The 15216-nt window shown below is 38.9% G+C and overlaps 1 protein-coding gene across 1 annotated transcript in view; it reads left to right on the top strand.

The window, feature by feature from the left end:
* The window catches only part of F8 (coagulation factor VIII), a 186932-nt gene that overhangs the window by 83139 nt on the left and 88577 nt on the right, over nt 1-15216 (top strand). Inside the window, exon 14 of the mRNA NM_000132.4 lies at nt 7909-11014. Coding sequence (NP_000123.1) covers nt 7909-11014 — 3106 coding nt within the window. The remainder of the gene's footprint in view (nt 1-7908; nt 11015-15216) is intronic.

The raw sequence follows: 15216 nt of genomic DNA, 5'->3' as shown, positions 1-15216 counted from the left end.
AGAGGTGGAGCCTACAGAGGCAGGCAGGCCTCCTTGAGCTGTGGGGGGCTCCACCCAGTTCGAGCTTCCCGGCCGCTTTGTTTACCTACTCAAGCCTGAGCAATGGCGGGCACCCATCCCCCAGCCTTGCTGCCACCTTGCAGTTTGATCTCAGACTGCTGTGCTAGCAATGAGCAAGGCTCCATGGGCGTAGGACCCTCTGAGCCAGGTGCAGGATATAATCTCCTGGTGTGCCGTTTGTTAAGCCCGTTGGAAGAGCGCAGTATTAGGGTGGGAGTGACCCGATTTTCCAGGTGCCATCTGTCACCCCTTTCTTTGACTAGGAAAGGGAATTCCCTGACCCCTTGTGCTTCCTGGGTGAGGCGATGCCTCGCCCTGCTTCGGCTCACGCACAGTGCACTGCACCCACTGTCCTGCACCCACTGTCCGGCACTCCCCAGTAAGATGAACCCGGTACCTCAGTTGGAAATGCAGAAATCACCCGTCTTCTGCATCACTTATGCTGGGAGCTGTAGACTGGAGCTGTTCCTATTCGGCCATCTTGGCTCCCAATGCAAAGACCTTCAAACAACGTGACTTCATTTTCTCACTCCTACCTTTTGTGCTCTTGTCATTTATTTGAATTCTACATATATTTTAAACCCCATAAGACATTATTATTGTTTTATATAATCAATATCATTTATATATATATATATATTTACACCTTTCATTTCTTTCATTCTTTTCTGCATTTCTTGCTTCCATCTATGATCATTTTCTTTTTGTCTGAAGAAACTTCTTTGGAACTTCCTTCAGTGTGTGTTGGCTAGTAAAAAGTTCTCTGTCAGTTTTTGGTCAGAATGGGTCTTTATTTTGCCTAGATACAAGTCCTTGGTTGGATTTACATATTGTGAATGTTTTCTCCCAGTCTGTGGTTTGTCTTTTCACTCCTTTAAGGGTGCATTATGGTTAATAGAAGTTCTTACATTTAATTAATTCTTATTTTTCAGTTTTTTATGGTTAATGCCTTTTGTATTCTGTTTCAGAAATTTTTGCCTATCCTAAGAACATGATGCCATCCTTCTATATTTTCTTTCTACATATTTTAAATATTTTCTTCTAGAAGTCTGATTGCTGTGTTGTTCACAATTAAGTTTATGATTCATTTTTAATTAATTTTGATGGAGTGATGCAGATAAAAGTTCATTTTTCCATATGGATATTTAATTGCTCTAGCACCAATTGTTGGAAAAAAATAATTTCCTCACTGAATTGCACTGTTGTCTTTGCCATGAATCTGATGACTGTATCACTGTAGCTTTGTTTCTGTACTCTATTTCAGGGGTAGGTTATGATCCACAAGCCAAATTTGCAGCTTGTTTTTATATGGCATTGAGCTAAGAATTTTTTTACATTTTTAAAGAATTGTCACACAAAACAAAAAAAAAGCAAAAAAACAAATAAGGATATGTATCATGGACCATATGTGTCTACAAACCTAAAATATTTACTATGTTGCTTTTTACAGAAAAAGTTTGCCAACCCCTGATCTCTTATATTCCATTGACTTATTGGTCTATCTTTGTACCAGTAACATACTATCTTATAGTAAGTTTTAATATTTGTTAGTATAATTCCTCCAACTTTGCTCTCTTTGATTTTTATATAAATTTTAGAATCATCTTGTCAATTTTATCAATAAAAATATCTTCTGAGGTTTTGATAGGGATTACATTGATTCTGCAGATCAATTTGGGGGAGCATACCTCTTGACAATATTGAGTATTCCTGTCCATGAGCATGGTTTAGTTATTTATTTACATCTTTTAAATTTTCTCTTGGCAATGTTTTTGTAAAATTTTAGTGTACAGGTCTTGCACATTTTTGTAAAGTGTATTCTTTGGTATTTAATGCTATTATAATATTTTTTATGGTATCAGTTTTTGTCAATTGTGTTTTTCTAGAAATATGTCCCTTTCATCTAAGTTGTTTAATTTACTTGAAGTAAGTTATTTGTAATGTTCTTTTATCATCCTTATAATGTCTGTACTGATGTCTCCGTTTTCATACCTGATATTGTTATTTATATTTTATCTATTTTAAGTTTATCGCCTGCACCCACTAACTCGTCATCTAGCATTAGGTATATCTCCCAATGATATCCCTCGCCCCTCCCCCTAGTGCACATGTACCCTAAAACTTAAAGTATAATAAAAAAAAAAAGTTTGTCGCCTTTGTTATAGGTTCATCAAATTTACTAATCCTACCATAGGATCAAATTTTTGCTTTGTTCATCAGGTCATGGAATTAAAAAAATTTTTTTGTTTTGTTTATTTTCTATGTTGAATTTTTATTTTTATTTTGCTTTGCATTTCATTTATTTCTGGTCTTTTGTTATTATTCCAATACTTTCTCTGGATTCAGTTTTCTTTTTCTTCTTGACTTCTTGAGATTAAAACTTGGTTCATTGATTTTCAACATTTCTTACTTTTTAAAAGTTCATACAAAGCATAAATTTCCCTTTATATACTGCTTTAACCCCATATCACAAATTTTGATGAGTCATATTTTTATTATCATTGAGTTTAAAATATTTTATAAATTTTACGTTATTTCTTGTTTTATTCATAGTTATTTTACAGTGTTTTACTTAATTTCCCAATATATGGCGATTTTCTGGCTCTCTCTCTGTTGCTGATTTATTTGTTTTACTGTGATCACATAACATACTCTATATTATTTCAATCATTTGAAATTTGTTGAGACTTGCTATATGCCCAGTGAATAATTTAATTTGATTAATGGCCCACTGCATTTGAAACAAATATGTCTTTGCTGTTATTGGGTAGAGTGTCATATATTTGCCTATTATGTCAAGTTGCTTTATCATGTTTTTAAAATCCTTATAAACTTCCTGATATTTTATCTGTTTCTTACAGACATGGAGGAAACTGTGACATCTCTGTGATTGTTGAGTTTGTTATTTTGATTTTTGTATTTGTTAGTAAGAATGTTTCAAAATAAATGAGGCAATATAAAATCAGGTGCTTACAACTTTAAGGTTGTATTCTTATTAAATCAATTCTTTCATCTTTGTGAAATGTCCTTTTTGTCTGAAGTAGTACTTGTTGCCTTAAACGTCTGCATTGTCTAAAATTTATACACCTGCACTATCATATTTATTTTGCTTAATGTTTGTGTGGTATATATTTCCCATTCTTTTCTTTTCAACCTATCTCTATCCTTATATTTACAGTGTGTCTTTTTTAACATTTTCTGTAGTGCAAGTCTGTTGGTTAATTAATTTTGTCAGTTTTTGCTTCTCTGAAAAGTCTTTATTTCTGTTTTTGAATTATATCTTCACTGTGTATAGAATTCTGGGTTTGTGGTTGTTGTTTTTGTTTTATTACATTTTGTTTTATTGGTTTTTCCCTCAGCACTTTAAAAATGCCGCTCCATTGTTTCTACTTGCATAGTTTTTCACAATAAGTTTGTTGTAATTCCCATTTGCATTCAACTGTACATAATGTATCTTTTTAAAAAAATCTGGATGGCTTCAAGCTCTTTACTTTGATTTTTGTGTGTGTGTGTGTGTGTGTGTGTGTGTGTGTGTGTGTGTGTTACTTTGGCATTCTCTAGGCTTATTCAATCTGTAATTTGGTATCATTAATTTTGAAAAATATTTATCATCTGTGTCTTCAAATATTGCTTCTAATTCTTTCTCTTCTTCTGGTATTGCATTTACATATATTATACTGTTCAATTTTGTCACACAGCTCTTGAATATGCTGTTCTAGTTTGTTTTCTAACTATTTTTCCTTCTAGTTGTTCAGTTTTGTTGACATTTATTGACCTATTTTTACTTCAGTAATTGTTTCCTGGGTTGTTGAGTTAATTGATGAACTCATAGATGACATACAATTTATCTTTTTATTCTTGTGTCACTTGTGCTTTTGATGTCACATCTAGGAAGGCTTTGTCTAGCCCAAGGCCACATTTACTTCCATATTTTCTTCTAAGAGTTTGATAGTTGTAGCTGTTACATATATGTCTATGATCTAGTTTGAATAAATTTTTGTGTATGGTGTGAAGAAGAGGTCTAACCTCTTTTTTATTTTTTGCATGTAAACATCCAGTTGTCCCGGCACCATTTGTTGAAAATATGATTCTTTTCCCATTAAGTCATCTTGACACCCTTGTTGAAAATCAATTGACCATAAATGTGAGAGTTTATTTCTGAACTCTCCATTCTGTTCCATTGACCCATACGTCTTCTATAAATTCTTATAGCTAATTCTACATTAGACTTTGGTTTTTCAGATGTGGTCATCTCATTAGATTATGGTGATATGTTTGGTTACAAGTTTTATCTTCTCCTTGGCAACATTTTTTTTATTACTGCTCTTCTTTTATTCGTTTTTGTTGTTCCTTTCTCTTTTTGTGAGACAGGGTCTCACTCTGTTGCCCAGGGTGGAGTAAGTGGTGTGATCATGGCTCACTGCAGCCTCAACCTCCTGGGCTCAAGCAATCCTCCCACCTCAGCCTCCCAAGTAGTGGGACTACAGGCATGCACCATCATGCCAGGCTAACTTTTTTATTTTTTGTAGAGACAGGGTCTTGCTTTGTTGCCCAGGCTGGTCTTGAACTCCAAGCTCAAGCAATCCTCCAACCTCAGCTTCCCAAAGTGCTGGGATTACCAGTATGAGCCACTGCACCTGGCCTTGTTGTTCCTTTCTTCCTTTTATCTTGTAGTATCTTGATCCTTTTTGCTTATTATTTATCATTGAGGTGAGTTTGTTCTAAATAAACTTTTCGCAGAAAGTTTATGTAGATATATTAATATCAATGAGGCATTAGGAGTGAGTTTTAGATTAGCAGGAATTCTCTTATGAAAGGTATTGATTGTATGTGTGAGTTTTCAGCCTTTACTTCTCTCCAGCCCATCAAGATCAAAGCTGCAGAGTTGTTTACATTTCAGAATTTCTTTCCTCCCCTCCCCACCTTGCAAAACAGACTTACAGTGCAAAAATGACTTGTCAATGTGATTCTTTCTTCTGGTCCCATCTTTCCTACCTTTTGAGACTTGTGTTGAAAGGAGTCCAGTAAAACCACCGATGCTAGCTTGTATACCCTGATCCCATTGTTATAATGAATGACTGACTGTTTTTCATATCAAAGTATAATACTTGCACCTTGATAGAAGAAAGAAACAAGGCCAGGCACAGTGGTTCATGCCTGTAATCCCAGCACTTTGGGAGGCTGAAGTAGGAGGAATAATTAGACTTTGATATTAAAAATGGGGAAGATATGGCGGTATAAGATATGAGGAAGTATGTCTTCTTGGACTTTTCTGAAATCTGCCAGCCATGAGCATCCACTCTTTTTATCTTTTGATACCTGTTTTATATTAACTATACTTCTATTTTGTGGTTTCATGGCTTCAGATATCTTCCAGCTTAATTGTACTCTGTCTTTAATTATTTGCAGCAATTTCTGAAAGGAGCAAGAAGAAAGGCCAGCCCTTTCTTCACTACCTTAAAAACTGGTCATCTTTTGAAACCCCATGAAAGGCACAGTGGGTGACCATCTACATCAGGAGTGGGCAAACTATGGCCCTTGGGTAGTCTGGTCTCTGTCCGTTTTTGTAAGGTTTTATTGGAACCCATACACACACAAACTGATCATCTCTTGTTATGTGTTAAGTTTTCTTATAATTATTCTTTTCTATTTCATCCAGCTGAATTACCATTTCACCTTGTGTATGCCCTTTCCAGTCTTAAATTATAGAAGCTATGTCTTTGTGGTTTTAAATTATGGAAGCTGTGCCTTCTTGTGTTTTAGTATGGCAAGATATTTGTTCTTACTTTTCCTCTAGAATCTGCAGTGGATTACTTTCAGAAGTAGGTATTGCCTCTAAGTTTCCTGACTTCTGTTTCCTTCTCCCTGTTCTGTAGTATATTTATAGATTGCATGTTTTCTCGTCCTTAAACAAGGTACAAATATGTTCTGATCAAGGTTTGCTAGCCGAGAGGATAAGTGGCTTGCTCTTAGCCTAACTCTCTGTCTACTTAATGGATGTCGAATTCCCTTCTCAACTCAACAGCTAGTAACTAGTTCCAAGATCGGATAATAGCTTACAGAATTAATTAGTTCAGTGAAAGCCCTGGTTTGATCACAGAGGCAGGAGACTGATCTATATATTTGTAGTGCTGACTAGACCCCAACTTGGCCAGATAGCTTATACCTATGTCAGAAGTTGGAGGAGGAGATTGACAGCTGAGGTGTCTCCAAGGGAATTACAATTATTTTCATTTTCTTTGTGTCTGTAATTATGTCTCTTTTCTTACTTCAAATTTTGTATATGTGAAATTTCTTAATTTTTATTTGGTTATTTATTTTATTGACTTTTTCATCAAACAACCAACTCTAAGTTCTTGGATTGAAATTTATGAATTAATTATAATGTTTTAAATTTACCATTAGTCACACATACAATACAAAAAGATATTTTCATTACAAAATTTTAACCCAAGCCATTAAAACTAAACTCCAGCTTGGTCACCATTCCTAATACCAGGCCCCTCTCAGAGGGGAGGGTAAATAAAAGTCCATTTTGGTAACTAGTTTGACGAGAATCTCTAATTGTTTCCCTGTTTTTCTTATAATGTCTGCCTTTGAATTATCCTCTTTTTTTCAAGAGTTCCATCATATAATGTATTCCTTTTTGCTTACAGATTGACCTCCTAGAGGCATGCATCCCCCTGCTCCAGTCTGAGCTGGTTCTCTCTAGGCCTGAGGCTCAGTTATCAACTTGGGACTTTTATTTACCCTCCCTCAGGATAGGTACCTGGTTCTTGGATACCAGGTCTTACTCTTGTTTGAGATACTCCTTTATTTTGGTGGCAAACATTCCATAATCACTTCCTGATAATGGTGACATTTGAGGTAGATTTTCTGAGTCTTTATATGTTAGAATATGTTTTTATTCTCCTTTGCCACTTGATTGATAATTTGGCTGCACATAGAATGTAAGCATTCACAGGGCTTTTGGGAGCAGCTTCCCTTGAGAAGAAGGTGGATGCAGTTAAGATCTTCCCTGAAAAGACTGTGTGAAATGACAAGGCTATTGAGGTACCCAACGGGTAGCTTGGTAAAGGTGTATCTTGTCTCTTATGTTTATGCATCTACTTTACCACCATGTAATTAGCCTATTATAACTTGTTGCATTCCTTCACTCAGCTAATCTTGTTCATGGTAGAAATTAATATTGCTAGTACCATGGTAGAATTTTATATTAGCTGGATCCTAGACCTAAATGCTCCTTCCTTGTGCTTACATATTCTGCAAGTGGGTGACAGTGGATGCTAGGTATTGTGTTATGTGATTTCAATGTATTATATGATGGGGTAGATACTATTAGCCTCATTTGAAAATTAGAAACCTATTGTTCAGAAAGTTTAAGTGACTTTCTCAAAGTCACACAGCTGGTAAATGGTAGAACTGGGATTTGAATCCAGGCAATCTGATGGATTTAAGAGGAACCTGTGCCACTATGTGATATAGCAATAACATCTAGCCAATATAAATACTTTCCTGAATTAAATCACTGTCATATTCAGAGAGTTCTGTGTCACTATTAAGACCCTCCATTATTGTGTATATTAATTACATTTCCCTATTTTAATCCCAATATCTATTCATTTTTATCACAGTCCTTTCTTATGGTCACAAACAGGCATAGTACAACAGCAGCAATGCAAAAACCACTTTTATATTACATGTTCCAGGGATTTAACCCAATGACCTGTGATATAATGATACTGACTAGTATTTTTTCATTTATCTGGGAATGGGAGAGAACCTCTAACAGAACGTTTTAGAATCTGTGTTATGAGTAACCAGAGTCTTATTCTTCCTCATCTCCAGGTCTATGGATTCTGGGGTGCCACAACTCAGACTTTCGGAACAGAGGCATGACCGCCTTACTGAAGGTTTCTAGTTGTGACAAGAACACTGGTGATTATTACGAGGACAGTTATGAAGATATTTCAGCATACTTGCTGAGTAAAAACAATGCCATTGAACCAAGAAGCTTCTCCCAGAATTCAAGACACCCTAGCACTAGGCAAAAGCAATTTAATGCCACCACAATTCCAGAAAATGACATAGAGAAGACTGACCCTTGGTTTGCACACAGAACACCTATGCCTAAAATACAAAATGTCTCCTCTAGTGATTTGTTGATGCTCTTGCGACAGAGTCCTACTCCACATGGGCTATCCTTATCTGATCTCCAAGAAGCCAAATATGAGACTTTTTCTGATGATCCATCACCTGGAGCAATAGACAGTAATAACAGCCTGTCTGAAATGACACACTTCAGGCCACAGCTCCATCACAGTGGGGACATGGTATTTACCCCTGAGTCAGGCCTCCAATTAAGATTAAATGAGAAACTGGGGACAACTGCAGCAACAGAGTTGAAGAAACTTGATTTCAAAGTTTCTAGTACATCAAATAATCTGATTTCAACAATTCCATCAGACAATTTGGCAGCAGGTACTGATAATACAAGTTCCTTAGGACCCCCAAGTATGCCAGTTCATTATGATAGTCAATTAGATACCACTCTATTTGGCAAAAAGTCATCTCCCCTTACTGAGTCTGGTGGACCTCTGAGCTTGAGTGAAGAAAATAATGATTCAAAGTTGTTAGAATCAGGTTTAATGAATAGCCAAGAAAGTTCATGGGGAAAAAATGTATCGTCAACAGAGAGTGGTAGGTTATTTAAAGGGAAAAGAGCTCATGGACCTGCTTTGTTGACTAAAGATAATGCCTTATTCAAAGTTAGCATCTCTTTGTTAAAGACAAACAAAACTTCCAATAATTCAGCAACTAATAGAAAGACTCACATTGATGGCCCATCATTATTAATTGAGAATAGTCCATCAGTCTGGCAAAATATATTAGAAAGTGACACTGAGTTTAAAAAAGTGACACCTTTGATTCATGACAGAATGCTTATGGACAAAAATGCTACAGCTTTGAGGCTAAATCATATGTCAAATAAAACTACTTCATCAAAAAACATGGAAATGGTCCAACAGAAAAAAGAGGGCCCCATTCCACCAGATGCACAAAATCCAGATATGTCGTTCTTTAAGATGCTATTCTTGCCAGAATCAGCAAGGTGGATACAAAGGACTCATGGAAAGAACTCTCTGAACTCTGGGCAAGGCCCCAGTCCAAAGCAATTAGTATCCTTAGGACCAGAAAAATCTGTGGAAGGTCAGAATTTCTTGTCTGAGAAAAACAAAGTGGTAGTAGGAAAGGGTGAATTTACAAAGGACGTAGGACTCAAAGAGATGGTTTTTCCAAGCAGCAGAAACCTATTTCTTACTAACTTGGATAATTTACATGAAAATAATACACACAATCAAGAAAAAAAAATTCAGGAAGAAATAGAAAAGAAGGAAACATTAATCCAAGAGAATGTAGTTTTGCCTCAGATACATACAGTGACTGGCACTAAGAATTTCATGAAGAACCTTTTCTTACTGAGCACTAGGCAAAATGTAGAAGGTTCATATGACGGGGCATATGCTCCAGTACTTCAAGATTTTAGGTCATTAAATGATTCAACAAATAGAACAAAGAAACACACAGCTCATTTCTCAAAAAAAGGGGAGGAAGAAAACTTGGAAGGCTTGGGAAATCAAACCAAGCAAATTGTAGAGAAATATGCATGCACCACAAGGATATCTCCTAATACAAGCCAGCAGAATTTTGTCACGCAACGTAGTAAGAGAGCTTTGAAACAATTCAGACTCCCACTAGAAGAAACAGAACTTGAAAAAAGGATAATTGTGGATGACACCTCAACCCAGTGGTCCAAAAACATGAAACATTTGACCCCGAGCACCCTCACACAGATAGACTACAATGAGAAGGAGAAAGGGGCCATTACTCAGTCTCCCTTATCAGATTGCCTTACGAGGAGTCATAGCATCCCTCAAGCAAATAGATCTCCATTACCCATTGCAAAGGTATCATCATTTCCATCTATTAGACCTATATATCTGACCAGGGTCCTATTCCAAGACAACTCTTCTCATCTTCCAGCAGCATCTTATAGAAAGAAAGATTCTGGGGTCCAAGAAAGCAGTCATTTCTTACAAGGAGCCAAAAAAAATAACCTTTCTTTAGCCATTCTAACCTTGGAGATGACTGGTGATCAAAGAGAGGTTGGCTCCCTGGGGACAAGTGCCACAAATTCAGTCACATACAAGAAAGTTGAGAACACTGTTCTCCCGAAACCAGACTTGCCCAAAACATCTGGCAAAGTTGAATTGCTTCCAAAAGTTCACATTTATCAGAAGGACCTATTCCCTACGGAAACTAGCAATGGGTCTCCTGGCCATCTGGATCTCGTGGAAGGGAGCCTTCTTCAGGGAACAGAGGGAGCGATTAAGTGGAATGAAGCAAACAGACCTGGAAAAGTTCCCTTTCTGAGAGTAGCAACAGAAAGCTCTGCAAAGACTCCCTCCAAGCTATTGGATCCTCTTGCTTGGGATAACCACTATGGTACTCAGATACCAAAAGAAGAGTGGAAATCCCAAGAGAAGTCACCAGAAAAAACAGCTTTTAAGAAAAAGGATACCATTTTGTCCCTGAACGCTTGTGAAAGCAATCATGCAATAGCAGCAATAAATGAGGGACAAAATAAGCCCGAAATAGAAGTCACCTGGGCAAAGCAAGGTAGGACTGAAAGGCTGTGCTCTCAAAACCCACCAGTCTTGAAACGCCATCAACGGGAAATAACTCGTACTACTCTTCAGTCAGATCAAGAGGAAATTGACTATGATGATACCATATCAGTTGAAATGAAGAAGGAAGATTTTGACATTTATGATGAGGATGAAAATCAGAGCCCCCGCAGCTTTCAAAAGAAAACACGACACTATTTTATTGCTGCAGTGGAGAGGCTCTGGGATTATGGGATGAGTAGCTCCCCACATGTTCTAAGAAACAGGTATGAATGCATTGGTTATTCCTTTGCTCTGCTCTTGTGACATTTGACTTTACCAGATGATGACACCAACAATGAGAGTTAGAGGATGAAAAATCAAGGTGTCTTGAAACTCTTACTCTGGTGAGATAGAGAGAAGAGAGGTTTACAAGAGGGTAGAGGAATCAGGGACAAGAAGGAGCAATGGGGAGCAGGAAGAAAGTCAACCTCACCTATCAACCTTATGAGCTGCAGGGGAAATCTTAGTCTCATCAGAGAACTTTAAGCAAGGCAGAAGGAAGAAGCAAGTTCGTGTTAAAGAGGTTAAGGACTTGGGGAGGATTGGTTTTCATGATACTGGGGATCCAGAGGGCAAAGTAGGATGATTTTATTTTTAGGTGAGTAGAGGGAGGTTGAGCAGTCAAGTAGTACAGAGAAATGTGGAATATAAACATAAGGAGAGTCAGTCAGTCACAAATATTTATGGAACACCTACTACATGCCAGACACTTTTGTACACATTGGAGTGCAGCACAGCAGGAGCTTATATTCTATTGGAAAGAGCAAGAGACAAGTTAGTACAAAACTAAATAAGGCAATCTCAATTGTGTTGTTCAGAAGATAGAATAGAATAATATGGTAGAGAGAATAATATGATAGAGTAATACGGTAGAGTGTTACATTAGCTGTGGTGGTCATAGAAATCATCTTTGAGGAGTTGAGACCTAAATGATGATAACAGGCCAGCTGATGGAGCTCTGAGAGAAGATGTTTCCAGACAGAGGGAAGAGAAAATGCAAAGGCCCTGAGAATGGAAAAAGTTTACCATGTTTGAGGAACAAGAAGGGACAAGCATGACTTGTCACTTTCCCACCTTGCTTTCTAGCTCAAGTAAGCCCTTATTGCTGCATTGCAACCATAGACTATTTCCCTAGTCCACTGACTTTCTCATTCTCCTGGACCTCTATCTTAGATTTTCTGTGTTTTCCTTAAATCTCGAGCACCTTTTTTCCATTCTCCAATGCCCATTTTCACTCTTAGCTGATGCTGTGCAATGAACCTCCACAGACTCCCAACATCACATTTACTGGCATTTGTACCCATATACTCTGCCTGCACACTTATTACAATAAATAGAGTGTCTGTGCTCCTAAGGCCAACCTCTCCAGTTTTGTACTTGATTCCCATCTCTTCTCCCTTCATAAAAAATGTTGCTCCAGCAATTTCTCCTTTTCTCCCTTACATCATCAATTTATCTCTCCACTAGATTAATCTCATCAACATCAATCATGCTATTATTTCCTCCCCTATCTTTACAGAAACCGTCTTAAAATAATTGTCCCTGCTTGCAGCCTTTGCATCTTTTCCTGCCATTCTCTCCTCTTTAACCCACTCCAAAGAAGCTTTTATCTCTATTATTTCATAAGAACTACATTTTCAAGGTCATTATTGATCTTTACATTACTGATTACTAGCCCTCATCTTATTTGAATTCTCAGTAGTATTTGAGAGGTGATTACTCCATCGTTGATACAGGTTCTCACTTGGTTTCTCTAACACCACTTTTCTTCACTTTTCTACTAAACTTACTGCCAATCTTTGTCAACTTTGCGAGTCCTTCTTCATCCCCCTAATCTTTAAAGGTTAGAGTGCTCCAGGGATTAGTTCTCCAACTTCTTCTTTATTCTATTTATACTCACTCTGTGACGACATTGTTTAGCCTCATGATTTTAAGTACTATCTATCTGCAGATAATTCCAGTTGAATATCTGGAGATATTCTCAGATCTCTCTCCTGAAGTCAAAATTTACATATCAACTCCCTACCTTAACATGCACACAATTAGACTCTTAATTCCTGCCCCTTCCCAAAACCTGCTGATTGCTCAGCCTTCTCCATGGCAATCAAAAACCATTCCTGGCCGGGCATGGTGGCTCACTCCTGTAACCCCAGCACTTGGGGAAGCTGAGGCAGGTGGATTGGTTGAGCCCCAGAGTTCAAGATCAGCCTGGGCAACATGGCAAAACCTCATCTCTATTAAAAATACAAAAATTAGCCAGGCGTGGTGGTGCACACCTGCAGTCCCAGCTACTCAGGAGGCTGAGGCACGAGAATCGCTTGAACTGGGGAGACGGAGGTTGCAGTGAGCTGAGATGGCCTCACTGCACTCCAGCCTGGGCAACAGAGTCAGACTTGATCTCAAAAAAATAAATAAGTAAAACCATTCCCTATTTCAGTTATTCAGTCACAGATCTTGAAGTTTTCCAACTCTTTTTTTCTTACATTAACATCTAATCTGTAAAGGATCCTGTATTAGTCCATTTTCACACTGCTAATAAAGACATACCTGAGACTGGGCAATTTACAAAAGAAAGAAGTTTAATGGACTCACAGTTCCACATGGCTGGGGAGGCCTCACAATCATGGCAGAAGGCAGGGAGGAGCAAGTTATATCTCACATGGATGGCACAGGCAAAGAGAGAGAGCTTGTGCAGGGAAACTCCTCTTTTTAAAACCATCAGATCTTGTGAGACTTATTCACTATCATGAGAACAGCAAGGGAAGGACCTACTGCCATGATTCAGTTACCTCCTATCAGGTCCCTCCCACAGAACATGGGAATTCAAGATGAGATTTGGGTAGGGACACAGCCAAACCATATCATTCCACCCCATCCCCTCCCAAATCTCGTGTCCTCACATTTCAAAACCAATCATGCCTTCCCAACAGTCCCCCAAAGTCATAACACATTTCAGCATTAACTCAAAAGTCCACAGTCCAATGTCTCATCTAAGACAAGGCAAGTCCCTTCCACCTATGAGCATGTAAAGTCAAAAGCAAGTTAGTTACTTCCTAGATACAATGGGGTATAGGCATTGGGTAAATACAGCCATTCCAAATGGGAGAAATTGGCCAAAACAAAGGGCCTACAGGCCCCATGCAAGTCTGAAATTCTACGGGGCAGTCAAATCTTAAATCTCTAAAGTGATCTCCTTTGACTCCATGTCTTGCATCTGAGTCATGCTGATGCAAGAGGTGGGTGCCCATGGTCTTGGGCAGCTCCACCCCTGTGGCTTTGCAGGGTACAGCCTCCCTTGTGTCTGCCTTCATGGGCTGGCATTTTCTGTAGCTTTTCCAGATGCTGGTGCAAGTTTCTGATGGATCTACCATTCCGGGGTCTGGAGGACGGTGGCCCTCTTCTCACAGCTCCACTAGGTGGTACCCCAGTAGGGACTCTGTGTGGGTGCCCTGAGCCCACATTTCCCTTCTGCACTGCCCTAGCAGAGTTTCTACATGAAGGCCCACCCCCGCAGCAAACTTCTGCCTGGGCATCCAGGCACTTCCATTAATTTCTAAACAACAAAGCATTCAAGAGGCGACTTGGGTGCTATTAAGGGCATTCAGTTTCATAAGGGAAGCAGAGCATAAAAGTTTGGAAAATTTGCAGCCTGATAATGTTAGAGAAAAGCAAATCCCATTTTCTGAGGAGAAATTCAAGCAGGCTGCAGAAATTTGCATAAGTAATGAGGAGCCGAATGTTAATCCCCAAGACAATGGGGAAAATGTCTCCAGGGCATGTCAGAGGTCTTCACACCAGCCCCTCCCATCACCGGCCCAGAGGCCTAAGAGGAAAAAGTTGTTTCATGGGCTGGGCCCAGGATCCCCATGCTGTGTGCAGCCTAGGGAGTCGGTGCCTTGTGTCCCAGCCGCTACAGCCATGGCTGAAAGGGGTCAATGTAGAGCTCAGGCTGTGGCTTCATAGGGTACAAGTCCCAAGCCTTGGCAGCTTCCACATGATGTTGAGCCTGCGAGTGCACAGAAGTCAAGAACTGGGGTTTGGGAACTTCCGCCTAGATTTCAGAAGATGTATGAAAACACCTGGATGCCTAGGCAGAAGTTTGCTGCGGGGGTGGGCCCTCATGGAGAACCTCTGCTAGGGCAGTGCAGAAGGGAAATGTGGGCTCAGAGCACACACACAGAGTCCCTGCTGGGGTACCACCTAGTGGAGCTGTGAGAAGAGGACCACCGTCCTCCAGGCCCCAGAATGGTAGATACCCTAAATCATCTCTTTCAAATTCGAAGTTCCACAAATCTCTAGGACAGGAGCAAAATGCCACCAGTATCTTTGCTAAAACATAACAAGAGTTACCTTTGCTCCAGTTCCCAACAAGTTCCTCATCTCTATCTGAGACCACCTCAGCCTGGATTTCATTGTCCATATCATT

This window comes from Homo sapiens, chromosome X (assembly GCF_000001405.40).
Source record: "Homo sapiens chromosome X, GRCh38.p14 Primary Assembly".
NCBI lineage: Eukaryota > Metazoa > Chordata > Mammalia > Primates > Hominidae > Homo > Homo sapiens.
The sequence above is the reverse complement of the archived record's forward strand: the minus strand, read 5'-3'. Positions and strand labels throughout refer to the sequence as shown.